At 35.1% G+C, this 24,455-nt stretch overlaps 1 non-coding gene across 1 annotated transcript; it reads right to left on the reverse strand.

Annotated features, from left to right (window-relative positions):
* Positions 1–20,865: 20,865 nt before the first annotated feature.
* Positions 20,866–20,975, reverse strand: MIR548Y (microRNA 548y). The gene has a single exon (NR_037503.1). It is a non-coding gene; the product is annotated as a microRNA 548y (primary transcript).
* Between the last annotated feature and the right edge of the window lie 3,480 nt (positions 20,976–24,455).

The following is a 24,455-nucleotide window of genomic DNA, read 5'->3' on the forward strand; positions in this document are numbered from 1 at the left end:
GCAAATCAACTCCTAGAGACTGCAGCCATCACTTTATGAGATGAGATGTGCCAAACATGTTGATCAACAATGATTATTCATTTTGTCACAGAATAAATTTTTTTACTTCAATTATGAACCCTATTTAGTGATGCTGTTAGTATTTTAAATTCTTGTCAAGTTAAATTTTATAGTATTCAATATAAAATTTTCTATGTTAATTATTATAGTTTCCTGATAATGGTTTTGATGTTGTTTAGAAGAATATTTAAGTTTTTATAATAAAATTATGTTACTGATTTTTACATGTAATTTCATTTGATTACAGTATTAGACAAATCTACATCTTTCTAATAATTAATTAATGTCTTCTGATGTTTTAACTGTATTGATCACTGCAACGTAGCCCAATGACGTGTGTTTTAAAGGCTATCTGTACTGCTGTGTTTGTTTATGTATATAAAACAATAATTTCAATACTAATAATACTTTCATTTTATGTTGGAAGCTGTTATTTGGTACCTAATGTTCTGTTAATGTTATTATACATCAATTAAATTATCCTGTTTGCCTTTTACAATGCTTGTGCCTGAACTTTACTTTGGATAGAGACAGGAATATGATCAGGAATATAATCATTATTTGAAATTATCATATTCCAAATAATGATATGGAATTCAAAGGCGTGGCATAGATCAGAGATTAGAAGTTAATATTAAATACATAAAGATGGTGGATGAAGTCTTATAAGGGAATGTTAATATTCATGGCTAGACAACAAAGAAATGAAGGAACCAGAGAACATAATTTTGGAAACACTAATATTTAAAGTATTGAAATAAGAGCTAGCAAAGGAGACTAACATTAAGTTGGTAGAAAAGTAGTTTGGCAAAGAAGTGGAACTAAAATAGAATATACCAAGAAGGTGGAGTTGTCAACAGCATCAAAATATTTACTGTGCACAAAGAAGTTGACATCCACTTTCAGCCCATCTATTCAAATATATAGACTACAGTGTAAGATGGAAGACATTTTAAAATGTTTTCTTCACTGGGGTATCTCCAGATTCTAAAACATTGTCTGGCACTTAGTAGAAAGGAATAATATTTGTTTAATGAATTAAATAGATAAATTTATGAAATCAATTATCACAAGCATATAACATTTTTAGAAAAGTGTACTCTGATACTGAAATATTTTTTCTATGTCCACTATACTACATTGTTACTTATAGAGTTAAAAAGACCACAAAGTAGAACAATTTGAAGCACTTTGGTTATAAAATAGTTTACTTGAAACTATTGCATATAAATATCATATATTCATGTCATAACATTTTTTCCTTTAGCCACCCTAGTTTCATGAAGATATACACATCTATTAATAAAACTCAATTTATCTGACCTAATATTGATAGTCCATCATAATAAAATGGAATTTAGAATGAAACCCCAGATGAATAATTAATATGCTGACATTTTTATCTATAGGTAAAAGATAAATTGTTAAAAGCTTACTTTAAGAAGTTTATTAACATACTTAATTCCACCTAAAAATTTAAATAATAAAAAAGCAGTTATCAAAGCCCCATAATTTTTAAATGACATAGATTCTTCTCAAATTTTATAGCCATATAAGAGCAAGTAAATTATTGACTCAATCTAAATTAATTAATAAAAGAAAAATAGTAGAAATAATTAAGTCAGTCTTAGAAATTCTATTGTGTTTATGTTTTTTGTTTGTTTGTTTGTTTTATTTATTTATTTTGAGATGGAGTCTTGCTCTGTCGCCCAGGCTGGAGTGCAGTGGCATGGTCTTGGCTCACTGCAACCTCCGCCTCCCAGGTTCAAGCAATTCTCCTGCCTCAGCCTCCTGAGTAGGTGGGATTACAGGCGTGCACCACCACACCCAGCTAATTTTTGTGTTTTTAGTAGAGATGGGGTTTCACCATGTTGGCCAGGCTGGTCTTGAACTCTTGACCTCAAGTGATCTGCAGGCCTCAGCCTCCCAAAGTGCTGGGATTACAGGTGTGAGCCACCACACCTGGCCATTGTGTTTGCTTTTTAAAAATTGTAAAGTAACTGGTAGACTTTTGTAAAATAATGCCAATAATTAAAAAAAACTTTTCAGAAACTTGTATAATTAAAAGGTAACTGTTGTCAAATATTAGTTACTTCTGAAACTATTCACTTCTTCAAAATATGCTTCTTCTGCTCTTAAAGCTCATTTGGAAAAAGAAAACAATAATGAATTAAATACATATATTTACCATTTAAATGTTTTAATTAAAATTATATTAGGGTTGGGCTCAGTGGCTCACACCTGTAATCCCAGCAACTTGGGAGACCAAGGCAGGCAGATCACTTGAGGTCAGAAGTTCGAGACCAGCCTGACCAATATGATGAAACCCCATCTCTACTAAAAATACCCAAGTTAGCCAGGTGTGGTGGCACATGCCTGTGATCCCAGTTACTTGGGAGGCTGAGGCAAGAGGATCGCTTGAACTCAGGAGGCAGAGGGTGCAGTGAGCCGAGATTGCACCACTGCACTCCATCCTGGGTGACAGAGAGATTCTGCCTCAAAAAAAAGAAAAAATTCTATTCAGAATCTCTGACATATTCTTGTTAAATATAGATTTGAAAATTATAAAAGTTTCTCATTCTGAATTTTTAAAATAATATAGAATTTCTATATACTAAGTTTGATTGATATTTTGATCTAGTGAAATGAATTATGCATAAAGAGAATCTAAATCAACCCATTGACTTCTTATGATTTTAAAGCATAAAACTTTTTGGATATCAGACATCTTTAATTTTTCTCCTTGGCTTTTTGACATACATTTTTGCATATGCCCAGACACCTATGTCTTTGCCCTGACAACTATTTTCTGTAGAAATGCTTTGCTTTACTTCTCTCAGAATAAAGAATGAATGTTTATTGCTCAAAATGTGGAGCACTGTGTTCTGTAAAAATATTCTACATGTTCATGGTGTTTGAGAACTAGTCGTATAGATCTAAATTCAGATTTCTTTGTTCTCATAGCTTATTTTCTTACTTAAGAATTCAGATCTGAAATTTCTGATATTTTCATCAGTACTAGAGTTAACTTGATCATTGTTTTGTACATCATAATGACCATCTTTTCTATAATTTTTAATCCTTTTGTGCTGATAAAAACTTTTATTATTGAATTATCTTTAGCCATGTTTTTAACAAGTCAGTTGTCTCACTTGAAGTTCTTATTACAGTTGAACAAACTGCAATATTATTCCTTCATATGAAAAACAGCATACCTTTCTCATCAAAGCTATTAATATAAGAATAAGTTGTTAAACTTAAAATTTGGTGTTGTAATGCAAAGTATATGTTTGTACCATCGTCCAGTAGTATCTCCTCAAATACTACATATTCTAAAAGTTCCTCATATTTACTTTTTATTATTGTAATAAATGTGTTGACTGTGTGCTAGTCTTAGATATGAAGCTTTAACAAGTAGCTTTTACTTGGGCTAAACACAACCAGTTTAATATACGATTTTTTAAATTAACTTGTGAATATGTCCTCCTATATTACCTTTGACAAAGAAGTAGTGACTGAATGCTCATGGTATTTTTGGATTGACTAGAATTACTGCGTTTGAAGACACTTAAAGAATCATTTGTTGCCAGTCTGGAGAGAGGTTTTCACTATGATGTTTGTATTTACATCTATCTTGTTCAATACTTCAAATCAACAATTTAGATGAATGATTTGTCATACCTATTAGATTTCAGATTTAACAAGAGAACATCAAGTGGGCTAGGTTCAAAATTAAAAAAAAAAACCTGTCTATATGGAATGAGACAGTTTGATTTTAGCAGCAGAGTGTATAAAAAGCCTTAGAACTTTTATTTGGCTGAAATCTAAATGTTAGTCATTAGTGGGATATGATTGCTTGAAAATACAGATTTAGGTTATATTCTGAGAATAAGGGAGGTCACAGTCTTATAATACTTTCCCCTAGTCAGAATAACCCTTGGTGTTTGGGTAACATCATAAAGATAAATAAAATAAAATAAAATAAAATAAGCTAAGAGTGTCAATGGATTTGGAGGCATTTGAAAATATATATAAACTGTGTTCCTTCAGATTGGGAAATTTTACCTTTGAAAAATAAAGAGTGGTAAAACTAACTTTTGTTTCCAAATGTTTAAGAATGCCTGTTGGTGACTTGTTCTGTTTGGCCACAAATTGTTGCAACAGTCTCATGGAGAGGAAGTGCCAGAGAGGCAGTTTTATTTTCTATTATAAGAAAGAGCTTTCTAATAATGGTAGATATTCGATAAGGGAAGAGCTATCTTAAAAGTAATGATGTTTATGCAGCTATAAAAATGTATTAATAATTCATGATTTTCAGGCTCAGAGGATGTTCTGGCTAAGGAGGTAAATTGGTAGGACAAGAGACCTCTACCTCAACTTAAGAAAAACAACTCCACATTTTTGTATTTTACATATCCAGATTTTATAAGATGAAAAGATAATGAAGCTATGTTTTAAAATTTTACAATCACAGAATTGCATTGGCAATAATGCTGTAAAAAACATTTAAGCATTTGAAAGAATATTTGAATTGGACAGCTTTTAAAGTCTTATCAAACATCATTTTAATAATAACTATAATGAAATTATAACATTGTCTACAAATAAAGTGCTGGAGAGCTTGACACACTCTCCTTAATCCTCACCATGGCCCTGAAAACATTATTATACTCATTTTAAATATGAGAGGAATGAGGATCAGAAAGGTTCAGCATTTTGGATGAGGGCCTATGGCATGTAGAAGGAGCTGGGCTTATAACCTTAGTTACACTGGACTTGTACCATTACACAGTATTATAAAATTGTAGAGTTGGGAGTACTCTTAGGGATCATATTCTAAACTATTTTGGTTCTGTTATTTTACGGCATATAAGACATCACCATCTAGTGATAGGCTAATTTGTTTTTTAATATCTTCAAACTCACTCCTCTGTTCTTGGGTTATTTAATTACTTTTGGAGTAGTTCAAGGTTAAATTAGGAAGGATCTTCCTATGTGAACTGAAATCTGCTTTTTCATGCAACCCAATTAAAAATATAGTGCTTTTTAATGTTCTGTTGCTCTGGTCTCTTCTTTGAAGGTATTTATATTTAAATTGCAGAAATACAATATGAAGACAAAGCATACAAATATATTAAGAACTTCCCCAGTAGGATTATACCCTTAAAAAATTTTTGTCCAAAATAAATTATAATTTAAATCAAAAGAGTTAACATAATCACCCATTGTCATTAGGTCTGTTCTGGCAAACATATTTGTAAGATAAGAGACGATCATAACAAGCATAGTAGTAGCTCAACAAACAAACTACAAACATCCATTCTAAAGGATGGTTCAATCTGCAACTGAATAAAAGAGAATCGTAAGATCTAAGTGGAATCTCAGCTGCTAGGTTGGTCAAATCAATCAGGAGGCAACAAGGATGTCCTTGACATGGGTGGAGAAAAGCATTTCTGTTGTCAGGGCCTGACAACAGAAAGACATGTGTTAAACCAAGAGAGATTTTAATAAATCTCTCCATTCATAAATATAGGGCTCCAAGTCAGTATTTAATTCCCAGGACAAAGCAGTATCTACTTCTTAGCATACCGGTCAAAAACAGATATGGGCAAATGGTAAGTCTGATCACTGGATTGCAATTCAATTCATCTCAATATGTGGATCAATAACTTAAACCCAGGTAGACAGTTAATTCTAGAGTGACCAAGTTGAAAAACTGATTAGAAACACACACACACACGTACGTACATATCATATATGTAAGTACGAAATCACACTTATTCATCTTAATAAGGAACTTTTTCAATTTTTTCCCATTACTTTATGTTAGAACATTATTATCACTCAGGAGACAAATTTTACTTTTAAAGATAGAAATATATATCTGGTCTAAAATGATAACTAAGCTAACTATATATCAAAATGTTGGTAACATTGATAAGTTATATTATCTTCTGTACAAAAAGGTATACTTGCCATCTGAAATACAATCACTGAGCTGGACCTCATGTCCAAATATGCCCATTATTTTCTGTGTTCCCATTTGGACATTGATGACCCCAAAAAAAATCTTTCCAAAATTTGGCTTTAGAATATCACTGAAGACAATAAGAGTTGAATAAAAGTAACATAACATTTTGGGCAAAATTAATGTATTTACTTACTCTAGAGAATCCAGTGAATTTTAGCAAATGCAACCATGTTTGCTAAAGCTGAGATAGAGCACACACATAGGATTTCAGGAGATCAAAATAAGAGCCACTATTTCATCACTGTTATTATGTGACGGTGCTATGGGCAATACATGGAAGCTAAATGTAATTCCGTTCATTTCTTTCTTATTTTTTCTAGTCTCTAATTTTATGAGCTCCTAGTAAGCTATAAAGTCTTCTGGGAAAATGCTAGTTCATTTTAATGGAAATATGCAAATAAAAAGAAAGCACTGTTAGAAACTATATATATATATATGTACAGTTATTATTATATATACAATTATATATTATATATGTGCTATATATATATATATCTGTATAATACACACACACACACTGAGAAGTATCACATAATTTGGCATTATCCAGCAATCAATTTTTGACTGCTGCTTTTGTCCTGTGTAGGATTTCAGGCTTGAATCCTAAAAGGAAATATTTCTCAATATTATCTATATTATTTTATTTAAAATAATTATAACCTTATCTTTGTACTTTTACATCTTTAAAAAAATAAAGAATCGTATACAGTCAAACCATTTTCATTATAAAGAAATATCCTGAATAACAATAAATGGAAAAAACTGGGAGTGTTAGAGAGCTCATATAAAGTTTATAATGGGAGTTACAAAAAGGATTGGAAAGCTGTCATCATTTGCTAACACATTCTGCAATGACTGCTTAAAATCAAGTTAGGTTTTTTTTTTTTTTTTGAAATCACATTTCTGTGTCACTCCTGATATATCATTTTAGCTACCCTCTTTGGTTCTGCTTATTTTATTATGATGCAATCATATTTGCTTTCATTTTACAGAAGTATGACAGCCCTGGGAAAAATACTGAGAATTCTAACAAAGTACCGATAATGCAATAGGAAAAAGAAGGAAATTAGTATTTCAACTCCCTTTTGTTCTGACTCTCATGTTTTTGACATAGTTTTCTGCAAATTGGTATCAATGATGCTGCAGGGCAGAATCAACTCACTTTCTACTGCATATTTAGTTATTAGTCTTCCCTCTTAGTTTACAGGGATAAGGCATAATGTTGACATTGGCTTTTTTGTTTTGAACTTAAATCTTCCAGGGAAGAAAAAAAACATAATCTCTTTTCCCTCCTTCTGTGATTAATTTCTGCAATGTTATATGTGAGGGAAGCTGAGTGATGCTGTGCCCACCAAGCTGTGGTGGACATTTGCTTCAAAGAAGTTAGTGACTTTGCAACCAGCTCTCTGTGGGTGTCACTTGTGTGCAGTGGTGCAGAGGGAAAATATGGAGAGGATGAAAAGAAAACCATTAATGCAGTTTGTGTTTCAGATTCCATGCCAATTTAATATTGTGTATTAATGATGCATTTTGGCAATAAAACCATTTAATAATCATTAAACAGAAATTGCCATTCCCCATTAAGTGCAGACTGTGTTATAACACATTTGCTAATTTCTCATTAAATTCACCATAAATTAAATAACAGATTTTGTGTGTATAACTAAGGAGAAAAACCCCTTTAATTTATTTTCCAAAGAAAATAAACATCTTTTGGGAAAATTGTCCAAACCTTCGGGTTATAATTAGAGAACAAAACAGAAAGCTTCTTTTTTTTTATGTTTAAAATTAACATCCAAAGAAAATGAAGATTGTTCAAATGTGGTGTCTTTTGAAAGAATGGTTGTTAAATGCAAGATTCAAATTTGCAACCTACAAATTTATTTAACTCTCAGTCATTGAAAACACTTCAAGAGAATTAAAGGTGGAGATTCTCAGTAGTGAAGGGAAAAGGAGAGAAGGGGATAATGGTTCTAGTTCCTCCTTACCCCCATTTCCCAGGCATAGTTTTGAGATGCTATCTGAATAGGTGGAATTCGTTTGGAGGTTCACCTCTTATTTATCTATACGGATCTGGGACAGTCAAAAGACTTCTAAACTGGGAATGTTACACTCATTTTCACCCCAGTAGACGTTAAAACATTTTAAGTGATATTTGATATTTGTTGTTGTAACATGTGCTTGATTACAGGAAAACTTAACAGAGGCCCCTAAGAAGGAAAAAAAGTACAAAGGAAGACATCTGCATTTTTATCTATAGAAGTGTGGTTCTAGACAGAGTTCATGTGTACAGAAAAACTGTTAAAAATCTTTGCTTCTGTCTTGTGAGATTTTGAGTGGTTTTAACACTATTTCTTATATTTCTAGCTGGCCCTTGAACAATAATTGGTTTGAACTATGCGGACGCAGTTACATAAGACTTTTTTCAATAAGAGTCACACCCAGTGTGCCTGCTTACTTGCCTCCCTCTCTTCCACCTCGGAAACAACAAGAGCAACCCTTCTTCCTCCTCCATCTCAGTCTACTCTAGGTGAAGATGATGAGGATGAAGACCTTTACCATAATCCACCTACACTTAATGAATAGTAATTATATTTTCTGTTCTGTATGGTTTTCTTAATGACATTTTATTTTCTCTTGCTTACTTTTTTTGTAAGAATACAGAATCACATCAATATACCATACAAAATATGTGTTAATTGGCCTTATGTTATTCATAAGGCTTCCAGTCAATGGTAGGCTCTTAGTAGTTAAGTTTGGGGAGAGTAAAAAGTTATACATAGACTTTCAACTGCATTGGGATGTCAGAGCCCTTAACTCCCGTGTTGTTCAAGAGCCACATGTACATATTTAACATTCTTCTTTATATTTGTCATTATTGTTGATTTTTCTATGTGAGTGTTTTTCAATTGGAAATATATGTTCAAAAATTATTATAGTTGAAATGATTATATGAAATACAGAGATAAAGACAAATGAAAAACAATGATTACATTTAATAGTATGAATCATACTGAATATTTGTTAAATAAAAAATTTAGTTAGAATTGTGACTGGGCGCGGTGGCTCATGCCTGTAATCTGAGCACTTTGGGAGGCCGAGGTGGGCTGATCATTTGGGATCAGGATTTCGAGACCAGCCTGACCAACATGGTGAAACCCCGTCTATACTAAAATACAAAACTTATCCAGCTGTGGTGGCAGGCACCTGTAATTCCAGCTACTCGGGAGGCTGAGGCAGGAGAATTGCTTGAACCCAGGAGGCAGAGGTTGCAGTGAGCCAAGATCGCTCCAGTGCACTCTGGCCTATGTGACAGAGTGAGACTCCATCTCAATTAAAAAAAAAAAAAAGTATCTGAAACAGCTCTCACTCAGTTTAGAAGTTTATTTTGCCAAGGTTAAGGGCATGCCCGGAAGAAATAAACCTGAAATCACAGAAACAGTCTGTGGTCTGTGCCTTTCTCCATAGATGACCTTGAGTGCTTCAAGATGTAAAAGGGAAAAATGGGCTGAAGGAGAAATAAGGTGGGTCTGGTAATTCACATGTTGTCAGGGAAAAGGAGCAGGTAGGGAAATATTCCATTATATATTCATCTTGTGCTCAGTAAATTGGCACTTTACATAAGATAAGGTGAGCATAGAGTAGCTACCTATGGAGACATTTAACCTTTTATCTGTAGCTATCTGCTTAGGAACAAAAGGAAAGGCAGTTTCTTTTATGACTCAGTTTTCAGCTTTATTTATTGATTTATTGGCGTAGTGAATTGGAATCCTGAGTTTTTGTTTTTCTTTCACAGAATGGATCGATAATATTATAGAGCCTTCTTTACATTTAGTGGGAAATGATCGTAGCAGCTATCTAATAATTAAGCAGATGAAGAGTTTTTTTGATGAATTGATCAACTGAAAGTTTGCTTAAATAAAAAATAGTGTTTTATTTCTAAAGCATGTCTGTGCGAAGTTGAAACATAATATCAGGTAGAAAATGTAACTCGCTAATAAATGCCATATACATAATTTTAAATATTCGTTGCTCAAAATAATCTTGTGATGCCAACCTTGAAGTAAGGAAATGTTACAATACTTTGTAACTCATTCGTGGCGTTGAACATACCTGCAGTTTTATGAACAGCATAGTTTGGCACCAGACCATGAAGAACTTCTGAGAACCACTTAATCCAAACCTTCACCTTTACTAAGAAAGGACAATACCAGAAGTCTTATGAAATCCTATCAACTTTTTCAAAATACTACAATGTGCTTTCAAATTTTCTTCGAAAATCCATTTCTTCAAGTCCTACGGTATTTGCCTGCCTCTGCTTTCCCCAGAGATTTCTCACTGCTTACTTCAACATAGGTTTTTCTAAATTCCTATTCAATTATTAAAATTAATGCCTGCCAAGGCATTAATAGTGACAATACTATTAGCCTTTCTTCTCCTGTCCTCCTTGCAAACTTATTAAGGTACATTGTTAAGTGAGATTTCCTGGTCTCTAGTGGTTCAATTCCCACCTACTAGAGCTTCTTCTTTGTCCTTGACTTTTCTTCCCTGGCAATCAGGCTCTGAAGCTGCTTCTCACTACCAGTCCTTTCACATACCTCAGCACTACCCTCCAAAATGTTTGTTGGCTTCTAGGAATTTTTCTGTCCTTCTCCTTTATATCAGTACTTGTATTGTTCCTAATACTAGGCTTTGCTTTGAAACATATGCAAAAGCTCTGACTAATGTCATAATATAAATATCTCAAAACCTATCCAAAAAGTAATCAGTAAACTAAACTCTCTCTTCCTATATTTGATTGGCTACCTTCATGGAAGCAAACTGTGGCTCCAGACAAACTTAGATACTCTTGCCTTTCATTCCATGAACCAGATGAGTAACCAGTCAAATCCTGACTTCCAAGAATTAAACCTTAGAATGAACCCTTTCTGGATCTTTCTCTTTACACACTGCTGAGAAAATCCTGAAACCTGGATAGGCTAGAAAGAGGAGATAACAGTACTAATAAGCTACTTCATACCAAACTTTAGATGCTTCACCTCCTGACCAGACACAGTGGCCATGCTGCACAGACTAAGGTCTGAAACCTTTTAATTCTGAAATGTAATGCTTATGTTGTGCTCACATGTAAAACACTTTGTTCACATTAAATTGATTGGATATTAACCAAACTAAACTATAGCCAGGCTGTTCAGAGAAAGAGAGAGAGAGAGGGAGAGAGAGAAGATACAAACTAACAGCAGAAGGAATTAAAGAAGTGACATCACTATGAATTCTACAGATATTAAGGAAATATTAAAACCAATGTTATAATAATATATAAATAAATTCAACAATGTCAATAACAAAGGCACATTATTTAACAACCTCAAACTACTAAAGGTCATGGAACAAGAATAGATAACCAAAATAGCCTTATATCGACTAAAGAAATTGAATTTGCAGTTTAAATCTTCCCATAAAGAAAATTCTGACCCTATATTCCTGCACTAGTGAATTCTATTAAACATTAAGGAATAAATAATACTAATTCTACACAAACTGTTTCATATAATTGAAGAGAAAGAAATAGTTCTCAACTTGTTCTATAGGTCAGCTTTCTCCTAATACCAAAGGGACAAAGACATTACAAGAAACATAAACTCACACAAAAACACAGACCTATATTCTCATAAACTTATATCCATTATAAACATAGGTACAAAAATTTTAATCAGCAAGTCAGATGAAATGATATTTTTAAAAGTATAATATGTTATGAGCAAGTGAATTTATGCAGACTTGCATGGTTCTTTTTTTTTTTTTTTTTTTTGAGACAGAGTCTCACTCTGTCACCCAGGCTGGAGTGCAGTGGTGCGATCTGGACTCACTGCAACCTCTGCCTCCCAGGTTCAAGCAATTCTCCTGCCTCAGCCTCCTGAGTAGCTGGGACTACAGGTGCATGACACTACACTTGGCTAATTTTTTGTATTTTTTAGTAGAGATGGGGTTTCACCATGTTAGCCAGGATGGTCTTGATCTCCTGACATCGTGACCCACCTGCCTTGGCCTCCCAAAGTGCTGGTATTACAGGCGTGACCCACCATCCCCAACCTGGTTCTTTTAAACATTTGAAAATCAGCTATTGAAACCTATCATAATTGCAAACTGAAAAAGAAAAATTGTATGATTATCTCAATGGATATAGAAAAAGCATTTGGCAAAAATCTAATATTTGTTCCTGATAAAACTATCAGAAAAATAGAAACTGAAAAAGACTTCCTCAAAATTTATAAATGGCATCTATGAAAAAATTACAACTAATGTTTTATTTCATTGTAAAATACTGACTGATTTTTCCGGTACAATCAGGAAACAGACAAGAATGACTACCCTCACCACTTTTCCTTAATATTGTACTGGAGGTTCTAGCCAGTGTAATATGACAAGAAAATAAAATCAAAGGCATACAAATGGGAAAATAAGTTAAACTGTGTTTATTAGCAAATAACCTAGTCATCCATATGAACAATCTGATGAAATCTAAAACAAATCTACTAAAACTAATAATGGAGTTTAGAAAGTCTTCAGTGTGAAATATTGATTTGAAACATATCAATTATATTACTATCTGCTGGCAATAAAAATAGAAAAATAAAAATTAAAAAATGTAATTTACAATGGCATCACAAACTATTAAATACTTAAATAAATCTGACCTAAAATATGCAATGCTTGAACACTGAATAAAAACACAACATTGCTGAGAGAAATTAAAGAAAACATAAGTAAATGGTGGGACATATTTTGCTCATAGGTAAAAATATTTAGTATTGTTAGGATAACACCTATCCCAAAATAGATCTGTAGATTCCACATAATTCCAATAAAAATTCTATCAGTTTTATTTTTGTAGAAGTTAGCAAGCTTATTGTAAAAATGCATATGGAAATGCAAAAAAAACAAGAATGGTCAAAATAACTTTGAAGGGAAACAAAGTAGGAATACTAACATTACTTGATTTCAAAATATAAAGCTGAAGTATTTAATAGGATTCAGTATGATACTTGCATAAAGATTGACAAACAGTTTAATGGGTCAGAACATGAGTTCAGAAATGGACAACAAATTTTTTTAAAACTCAATATCATCCCTATTTCCTTATAAAATGAACTCATGTCTACACGAATACAAAAATTTTAACACAAATTGGATCTTATAATTAAGTGTAAAATATAGAACTATAAGATATCTAAAAAAGGCCAGATCTGTGGCTCATGCCTGTAATACCAGCACTTTGGGCAGCCAAGGCTGGGGAAACACCTGAGATCAAGTTCAAGACCAGCCTGGCCAACATGGTGAAACCCTGTCTCTACTAAAACTACAAAAATTAGCTGGACGTGGTGGCAGGCACCTGCAGTCTAAGCTACTCAAGAGGCTGAGGCAGGAGAATCACTTGAACATGATTCAAGTGGAATCATGTTCCACTTGGGAGGTGGAAGTTGCAGTGAGCTGAGATTGTGTCACTGCACTCCAGCCTGGGCAACAGAGCAAGACTCCATCTCAAAAAAATAATAGTAATAAATAAAATAATAAAATAAAATAACTAAAAGAAAACAAAAAAATCTTTGTGACTGTGTTAGTTCATTCTCACACTGCTATAAGGAACTACTTGAGACTTGGTAATTTATGAAGAAAAGAGGCTTAATTAACTCACAGTTCTGCAGGCTTAATAGGAAGCATGTCTGGGAGGCCACAGGAATCTTACAACCATGGCGGAAGGTGAGGAGGAAGCAAGCACCTTCTTCACATGGCAGCAGGAGAGAGAGGGCGAGAGAACGGGGGAAGTGCTACACACTTTCAACTGATGAGATCTTGTGGAAATTCTATCAGAAGAACAGCAAGGGGGAAGTCCACCCCCATGATTCAATCACCTCCCAACAGCTCCCTCTGTCAACACTGGGAATTAAAATTAGACGTGAAATTTGGGTGGGGAAACAGAGCCAAATCATATCAGTGACTTCGGGCCTTATATGTTGCAAAAATAATGAAATAAAAAATTGATAAACTTGAATTTATCAACATTAAAATATTTAGTGCTTCAAAGGACACTGTTAGGACAATAAAAAGAAAAACTGCAATGCCGAGACCAGCTGGGTTGGGACACCCTAACCCAGCGGCGCTAGAGGAATTAAAGACACACACACAGAAATATAGAAGTGTGAAGTGGGAAATCAGGGGTCTCACATGAGAGCCCCGAACAGAGATTTATCCACGTATTTATTAACAGCAAGCCAGTCATTAGCATTGTTTCTATAGATATTAGATTAACTAAAAGTATCCCTTATGGGAAATGAAGGGATGGGCCAAAGTAAAGGGATGGGTTGGGCTAGTTATCTGCAGGAGGATCATGTCCTTAAGGCACAGATCGTTCATGCTATTGTTTGTGGTTTAAGAATGCCTTTAAGCGGTTTTCCACCCTGGGTGGGCCAGGTGTTCCTTGCCCTCATTCAGGTAAACACACAACCTTCCAGCGTGGGCGTTATGGCCATCACGAACATGTCACAGTGCTGCAGAGATTTTGTTTATGGCCAGTTTTGGGGCCAGTTTATGGCCAGATTTTGGGGGGCCTGTTCCCAATACTACAAACTTGTAGGAAAAAAAATTGTAAATGACTTATTAGAAGATACAGAGAAAATATAAATAATCCCTAAACTCAATAAGAAAACAACCAAAAAAAAATTAAAAAGAATTTGAACAGATACTTTACTAAAGAAGATATATGAATAAAATATAAGCATGCAAAAATAATCAGTATCATTAGTCATTACAGGAATACAAACTGGAACCACAATAAGAGATTACTACATACTTATTAGATGGCTAAAATTAAAGACTGTCCATACAAATTGTTTGTAAGAATGTGGAGGATCTGAAATTCTCATTCATTGCTGATAAGATTAGAAAATGGTGCAATCATTTAAAAAAAAAAAACAGTTTGGCAGCTTTTAAAAATATATGGAAAAAAAAAAGAAATACCTACCATTTGATCCAGCTATTGATTTGTAGGTATTTACGCAAGTGAATATATAGCCTATAGTCATACAAAGATTTACACATAAATGTTCATAACGGCTTTATTGTAATAGCCCAAAACTGTAAATGATCCAATTCTCTATTAGCAGGTGAATTGATAAACAAATAGTAGTATGTCCATACAGTGGAATCTTATTCAGCAATAACAAAATGAACCACTTACACAAACAACAATGTAGATAAATCTAAAAATAACCATACTAAATTAAAGAAGCCAGACAATAATCTTTATATATTACATGATTCCATTTATCTAAAATTTGAGAAAATGTAAATCAATTAATAGAGACAGCAAGCAGATCAGAGTGATTCCCTGTGGAGGGCTGCGATGAAGTTGGAGGGAGATATACATAGATGGAGGGTGGAATTACACAGAAGGAGGGAGGGATTGCACAAAAGCAGGAAGAATCTTCTGGTGGGGGGTGATGAATATGTTCACTACACTAATTGTAATGATGGTTCTTCAGGTGTACAGATCTGTCAAAACTTCTCAAGTTTTAACTTTAAGTACGTATAATTGATATACATCAATTATACCTCAGTTAACAATGAAAATAAAAATATTAAACCTTTTAATTCTAAAAAATTACATTCATATGTTGGGCTCACATATAAAACCAGTTTGATCTTATAAAAATAACTGGACATTATCCTGTAGCTTTACTCTGAAGGAGTATTTCCTTATGTTCTTGTCTAATTTAAAATAAATTTCTTTCAGTCTTACTGAGGTAGAGATAAATAAAACAGCAAATTAACTCCTCTGTCTAAAAATGCCCATTACTGTTTTCTTCTAAACAATTTACTTTTCATTAGTAATCAGATCCCATTTTGACAATAGTAATTTTCATTCCTTTTCTCTAAGCCATAGTTTCCTTGTTCATTCAAGGGTACATTAGTTGCTAGAAGATCTTGTCTAAATCCTGGAGGAAAATAATTGACATATTCTAATTCAGTGATTCTCACTGGAGTCTGAGAATCTGGGCTAAGCAAAATTTATATGTATTACTTGGAGAAGTTTGTTAATATTATCAGTACTTGATCCACACCTTTGTAAATCCTAAATCCTATCAGGAGTGAACAATCTTTATTTCTTAAAAGCTTTCGTGTGTTGATATGTAATGCATGGCCAGTCTTGGGAACCACTGGATGTTTCTGAACAGTAGGACTTCCTAAGAAGCAGTAAGAAGTAGAAAAATTCTGATAAGTGGATTTACATCAATTTATAAGATCAAGGAAATACGTATACCATATACATTTCTTCAAAGGAGAGACTCGACTGTGATTAACAATTTAGATCAGTTTACTTCTCAAAGATAGTAAAAAGACTTGTTTCCTTAACTACAGAAGGAAAAGGGGAATATGGGCACTTGCCAAAGAGCCCAGGCAAGTGTAAAATGAAGTGGAGAAGAGTAAATGTTTCTTTAGTTTATATCCTGATAGAAGCATATAAAATATAATAATATGTTCAGACTATAATTATAGAAATTCTGACTGATATCACAATTTTACCCCTTGCCATTCGTTACTCCCTAAAAATAAATAACAATCTGAAACAGCTACAAAATATTGGCAAAACATAGTTATGTCTTGTTTTGGCATGAATTATTTAGATGATTTCTGCAATGCTTTACTTAATTTAGCTTGAAACTAAGAATGGTTTCAATCTTAGGCTAAACATTGGGGAATTACTTTTGCAGCCAAAGCTCACAGTCTTGTCTTGCATTCCAATAGCATTTCCCCTCCCAACTACCCACCCAAATCTCATTAGTTCCCAAATCATATTTTAGTGATCCTATCAAGGATCACTGTATCCAAAATCCCTTCTGGAGAATTCACTGGAGAATGATTAGAATTTAATGACAGAAAGGCTAGCATCTCTTTCCTCAGAGAATTTCCACACTGCAATCAAGCAAGAAGGCCAGGGATTTCCATTTTGTTAATGTGTTTGACTAGATACCCTGAATATCTTTCTATTGTAAAGCACCTAAAATTATGGATAAAACATTGAAAAACAAATATTACAAATGGACAGCTAAACTCTCAATAAAGTAAATAAAATATTTATGTTTCAGATTGATGATGAGATGGAAAATTAGAGCGATAAATTTAGGAGGTGATGCTGCAGCTTTACTCTCAGGGAAGAAAGAAATTTTAGTAGCTTGGTTCCAATGTTCACATTAGAATAGAAGATGAAGTAGAGAGTGCTGATAGTGAATTGGAACTGAGTTTTTCAGGTAAAGCAGAAAGTGCTAGATCTGCAAAAGTGCTAGACCTTCACTGGAATGACAGAATAAGAAAACATAATTTTCCTGCTGGCACAGTAAGACAACTTAAGCCAGTCGTGGTGGCTCACACCTGTAATCCCAACACTTTGGAAGACTGAGGCAGGGGGATCACTTGAGGCCAGAAATTTGAGACCAACCTGGGCAACATGTAGATACCTTGTCCTTACAAAAAATACAATAATGAGCTAGGCATGGTGATGCATGCCTGTGGTCTCAGCTACCCAAAAGGCTAAGGTGGGAGAATGGCTTCGGCCTTGGAAGTTGAGGGTGTGTGAGGGAGATGTGAGGGTGTGGAGGCACTATTATGCCACTGCACTCCAGCCTGGGTGACAGAGCGACCTTGTCACCCAGGCTGAAGTGCAGTGGCACAATAATATTGTGATGTGTATATATATATATATATATACATGTAAGCTTGTTTATTGTGACTCGGTCTCTGGGTAAAGAGTAAAAAACATCCTCCTTAGAATTTGTAATCAGATGATATTGAGGTTCTATATCACATGCTCTGTGTCCATCTTCAATTCCTGCTACAGCTGTAGTAGAGACTTTCTATGCCTTTAGTGGAGTCCTCAACTCATGTAACTGTCCCACCCCCCAGCTTTTCTCTAAAGCCCATAACACATCTTGGACAATCCTCAATCAATGGAGGATGGGAGTTAGGAAAAACATTTCTCAACTCCTTTCCAAAGGAAGATTCTGAGGGATACTTGATATTGTTTCTGAGAACACCCCAGAAGGATTGAGCCCCATCTCCCTCCAGCGATGATGACAGCTCAGTAGCATACTCTTTATTGGTATCATGTTCTTCCCTGCCTCATTCTGAATTACTGAGACCCCCCTCCCAAATATGCCACCTATACATAAGTCATTGTATCAAGCAATGCTTTCAGGAAAATACAAATTAAGACAATGCATTTCATGTCATGTGAATCTGGGCTTCATTTTTTTTTCAATTGTCTATAAGATGTGGGCATCCTCAAGCTAAAATATTGGTGTCAAATTATACTTAGATCAGTGGATCCCCTCATGCATCTGACAGAAACAAATGCAAGACACTCTGATGGTAAACACTCTAAAACCAAACCATCTAGTGTCATTCCAAATAAAACTCTTCCAAAATGAGTTCAAAATACAAAATGGCAAACCAGGAGAAGAAATAATCCATTCAAAGCAGTATCTAGCACTAAAGATTGTGTTATTTAACTGTTGCTTAGTGGCTTAAACAACACTAATCATATTATCTCTCAGTTTTTAAGGGTCACACACTCAGTGCAGATGGGTGATTTCTTTCCACTTCCACATTATTTGACGTATCAGCTGGAAGACTTGAGGGCTGACTGGTTTGAATTATCTAAAGAATTGATTGGGGATGAAGAAGCTGCTTCTAATGTTATTTCACATGGCTGGAGAATCGGTGCTTACTGTTGGCAGTCAGCCTGAGTTTTTTCTCCATATGATCTTCTCTACATGGCTACTTGAGTGTCCTCAGAACACGGTAGCTAACTCCTCCCAAAATGAGAAAAATGGAAGACCAGAGAGGAGGCTGTAAACTTTTTAATGACCTAATTCTTACATCACACACTTTCACTTCAACAATATTCTATCTGTCATATATGTAAGTCCTATTAATTGTGGGATGGAATTAGATAGGAGTGTGAATACCAGGAGCCAATGTTTACTAGGAAAATATTGAATGTTGGTTACTACAGAGACTATGGTGGATTTGTATCATGCCAAATGAACTAAACTGGAATTGCATTCCCCAGAATTCCCCTCCAAGCATAGTTCTTTGGTATTAGTCCATTTTCACACTGACGATAAAGACATACCTGAGACTAGGCAATTTACAAAAGAAAGAAGTTTAACATGGACCTACAGTTCCATGTGGCTGGGGAAGCCTCACAATCACGGCAGAAGGAGCAAGTCATGTCTTACATGGATGGCTGCAGGCAAAGAAAGAGAGCACTTGTGCAGGGAAACTCCCCCTTGTAATACCATCAGATCTCATGAGACCCACCCAACACCATGGGAAAGACCTGCCCCCGTGATCCAGTTACTTTCCACCAGGTCCCTCACGTAACACTCGGGAATTCAAGATAAGATTTGGGTGGGGACACAGCCAAACCATATCATCTTTGTTAGTGAGGGCCATGAGAGATATTTTGTATGAGAGTTGGAAGGATGAAATGAAACAGCATCTATATTCTTTTTATTTTCAGAAAGTCAGCACTGGGCACATGGCACTGTTGTAGCTCACACAGGTGTCATTTATCTGTGGGATCACATTGTTGGAGTAGGGCAGTAGCTGGGCCCTCAGAAATGCCACAGCTGCCAGACACCCACTTTCAATCACTCTGACTTTCAGTGAGGTATGGTTTAGCTCATAGCAGCTCCTCCTGCAGATTACCCCAACTTTAAAGTTGGACACATGGAAGCAGGGTTGCAACTCTGTCCTGATAGATTCGGGTTTATTCTTGCAGGTACCAGTTTGTCTCGCTTCCCTCATTTTACGTCCATTTTATCTTTCAGACTGTGTGCGCTGATGACTTTAGGCTCAGCACTAGACACAGAAACAATAGTTTCACAAAGACTTTTCAACAGTTTCCACAAATATATAAGGCAAATCCCTATTACAAATCCCTTATTATACACAAATCTGGTGGTACTGCTTCTCAGATCAGACTCTGACATAGAGACTATAAAATAAGTAGCTTTAAATTGAATGAAGCAGGAAAGAGGAAATCAATTACTATAAGAGATAAGGTGACATAAAAAGCAGATATATTTGAAAAGAGGCCAAATAGAAGTTATAAAATGAAAAATATATTAAATAAGAAAAACCTTCTAATATATAGATTTATATATATATAATATATATAAATCCTGAACAGGATATGGGTGGCTTTGACAAAATTCCACATAAACAGTAGTTCAGATAAGATAGATGTTTATTTCTCTTTCTTTTTTTTTTTTTTTTTTGAGACAGAGTCTCGCTCGTCGCCCAGGCTGGAGTGCAGTGATGCATCTTGGCTCACTGCAAGCTCCGCCTTCCGGGTTCACGCCATTCTCCTGCCTCAGCCTCCGGAGTAGCTGGGACTACAGGTGCCCGACACCACGCCCAGCTAATTTTTTGTACTTTTGTTAGAGACGGGGTTTCACCGTGTTAGCCAGGATGGTCTCGACCTCCTGACCTCATGATCCGCCTGCCTCTGCCTCCCAAAGTGCTGGGATTACAGGCGTGAGCCACCACGCCCGGCCTATTTCTCTTTCATAAATTGTAAGCATTTCAGGACTTCGATGATAGATAAGACATTTCCACATTGTCAACAAACCAGATCCTTTATTGTAACTTCCTCAATTAGCTTTTTAATCAGAGTCCAGCTTGGATGCTCCACATCTGCCATGTCTGCACCCCCACAGTGAAGGTGTTACTAGGTTGGTGCAAAAGTAATCACGGTTTTTGCCACTGAGAGTAATGGCAAAAACAGTGATTACTTTTGCACCAACCTAATAGTTTAGGCTGCTGTCACAAACTACTATAGGCTGGTGGCTTAAACAACAAACAGTTGTTTCTCATAGTGCTGGAGGCTAGGAAGTTCAAGATAAAGGTGCTGGCAGATTATGTGTCTGTTGAGGCTCACTTCTTGGTTTATAGACTACCAAGATCTTATTTTCATATGAAGGGAAGAGAGCTAGCTACTCTATGGCCTCTTCTCATAAGAGCACTAATCCCATCCATGAGAGCACTAACAGTATTACTTCATCGACTCTGAAAGGTACCACCTCCAAACACTATCACATTGAGATGAGGGATTACGGTTTCAACATATGAATTTAGGGGGCCACAAACATACATTCCATTGTAGTGGGAAAGAAGAATGGGAAGACCTACTCTTTTCCTTTTAAAACTGTGATCCAAATGTTGTACATCAATTTCACGTATATACCATTTAACTGACCCAAAGTAGCTGCAAAAAGTGCTGAAAAATGTTATATTTAGGTAAATGGACACATATTCAGCTAAAAATAGCATTACTACACGAAATATATGGATATTGAGAAAGCAAATAATAGACTCCGACACGATGATTAAAAAGCAGATAATTCTCAACAGGCAATTAACAGAGAGAAAGAGCTGAGGATTTTACAGTTACTAAAAGCAAGTTTAAGAGATAAATAAGATAATAGATTAAAATGGGATAGATTCAATGAAAGAATAAGAGGGAATGAGATGGTAATGATGATTTTTTCAAAATCAATAGCATGAACCTAATATTTGAGAAGCACACTGGATCTGCTGCAAAATAAGATGAAATTACACACACACGCACAGACACACACACACACATACACACACACACACACACACACACACACACAGTGCTAAAACCAAAACCAAACACCCAAGACATAAAGATCTTCAGAATCAACATAAATAACTTATGAGGAAAACTACTAGCTTCTTTATAAAATCTACATTTCAATGCACTGCTGTGGTTGCAGGGAAATAAGTAAATCTCCAAGCACCCCTTAAATAAACAACCTAATAAACATGCAAAAAATGACCTGAATCCTGAGATAGAATCAAAGAACAGTGCGCTACCTGCAAGACACAAATGGGAAAGTTGGAGCTAGCCTGAGACAAGTGTTGAAATTAGCATTGTGTTCCAGAGACTAAGCTTGAGGGAGCTGATCCTGGAAACCTGGCATTATGTCAGCAAGCCTGGTCCCAGGTCTTACTACATCAAACTCCTAGCAGAGATAATTTCAAATTCTACCCTGGAGAAAAAGTTGACCCTAGGATACCTAAAGATTAAGATTAAAGAAATCAAGCCATGGTGAGTGAGACAGCAGAAACAACAAATAGCAAACATCTAATTAAGACTCCCAATGGCTTCAGATATAGAAATTATCAGAAATTGAATGTAAAATGCTATATATGAAATGTTTAAATAAATAATAGGTGAAATTACAAAATCAGTAAACACGAAAATGTCAAGAATGAACAGACACAGAATTTTACTTCTGGCCATGCTGATTAACAGAGACAGGAGCTTTCCTAACATTATAAATATCTGGAAAACTTGGAAAATGTATGAGTCAAATTCTTTCAGATATAGGAGATTAGGCAATTTAGGATTATGGTCCAAGGGAAGTGGAAACAAAGTGAGCTCTATTAACTGCCTGGAACTACTTTCCAACCTGTGGTGCAGAGGGGGTCACTAGCATGATCTCACTGAGTTGAGTAAACAGAGATCAGAGTTAGGGAAGACTGACTTACCTGGAATATTGAATGTGTAGGACACATTACCAGTGAGAAGGAAAGTAGGTGAAGGAGGAGCTCCAGGAATATGCACAGGGGTCTCCTTGAGAATGTTCTAGGTACTAAGTTGTACATGCATGGGAAAAGTCAAAGGGCTGGGAGCTTTAAGCTGAAGGACTCCCAGAGCTCAGGTAGGGCGGGGAAATGTTTACTTCTGAACCAACCAGAATAGATTGAACATCTACAACATTCAGTGGAAACATGAGAAGGTTCAGGCCTTAGTATAAGTGCTAAAGTAGTCCCGAGGTAAAGAATTCTCTAAGTCCAGCCTAAAAAGCTTAAAAGCAAACCTCTAAAGAATCACACTGATCCACAATTACATACTTACTTAGCCAAATGAAATTGACATTTGTAAAAGGATGGCAACAAAATCCAAACACTCAACAATATAGCTCTCATAGTTTGGGGCCAAATTTAAAATTACTGTATATGAGAAGAAGCAGGAAAATGTGAGCCATGACCATGAGAAGAATCAGTGAAGAGAAACAGAAACTGAAAGAATTGGTGGATTTATATGAGTAGGGCTTCACAAAAGCTGTTTTAAATGTGTTCAAAAATTTTAAAAGAAACATGAATAAAAATAGATATGGAAGGTATAAAAATGAAGCAAATGCAAAATTTAGAATTAAGAAGTAAAATACATAAAATAAAAAAGTCCTGATTTTTAATAGTAGCCAGACACTGAAGAAGAAAATGTCAATGAACTCACACATATGATATGAAACTATCCAAACTGAAACACAAAGAAAAATAATAAAAAGCCACTGAACAGTCTCAGTGATGTGTGAAGCAATTTCAAGTGGCACAGACATTACGTGATTGATGATATAAAAACGAAGATGTAAAAATATTTGCAAAAATAATTACCACAAATTTGTCCCATTTTGAATTAAACTATAGACAACTAAGTTTTCAAAACTTAACACACCTTTGCCCTCATATAAAGAAAAAGATAATCACAGTGAGGCACATTATAACCAAATTGTTGAAAAAATCAGTGATAAAAGAGAACACCTTAAAAATAGCTAAAGAAAAATTACACATTACTTACTCAGGAACCAAAATAAGAATATTGGCACATTTCTCATCTGAAATATTACAATCCAGAAAACAATGAAAGTATATGGTTTATATTTATGTGGGTAAATGCATTGTTTCTCCTCATTTAAAAATATTTAGAAATTGTTAAAAGCAAACAGATTATAACAAGTGGAAATAAAGGGAATGTCAACAATAACAATTGTAACAATAAAAGGATGAGGAGGCCGGGCGCGGTGGCTCACGCCTGTAATCCCAGCACTTTGGGAGGCCCAGGCGGGTGGATCACGAGGTCAGGAGATCAAGACCATCCTGGCTAGCATGGTGAAACCCCATCTCTACTAAAAATACAAAAAACTAGCTGGGCGTGGTGGTGGGCGCCTGTAGTCCCAGATACCCGGGAGTCTGAGGCAGGAGAATGGCATGAACCCGGGAGGTGGAGCTGGCAGGAAAAAAAAAAAAAAAAAAAAAAAAGGATGAGAGGTAGGAAGTAGAAGCATAAAATTGTAAGATTCTTATGTTGTAAGTAAATATATGATATTAGTGTGCTATTATTCAAATACATAATATGGTAAGTTTGTAAACATGAGAAGAACTACAATTCACCCTTGAACAACTTGACCCCCATGCAGTCGAAAAA

Source organism: Homo sapiens, chromosome 14, assembly GCF_000001405.40.
Source record: "Homo sapiens chromosome 14, GRCh38.p14 Primary Assembly".
NCBI classification, from domain to species: Eukaryota; Metazoa; Chordata; class Mammalia; order Primates; family Hominidae; genus Homo; species Homo sapiens.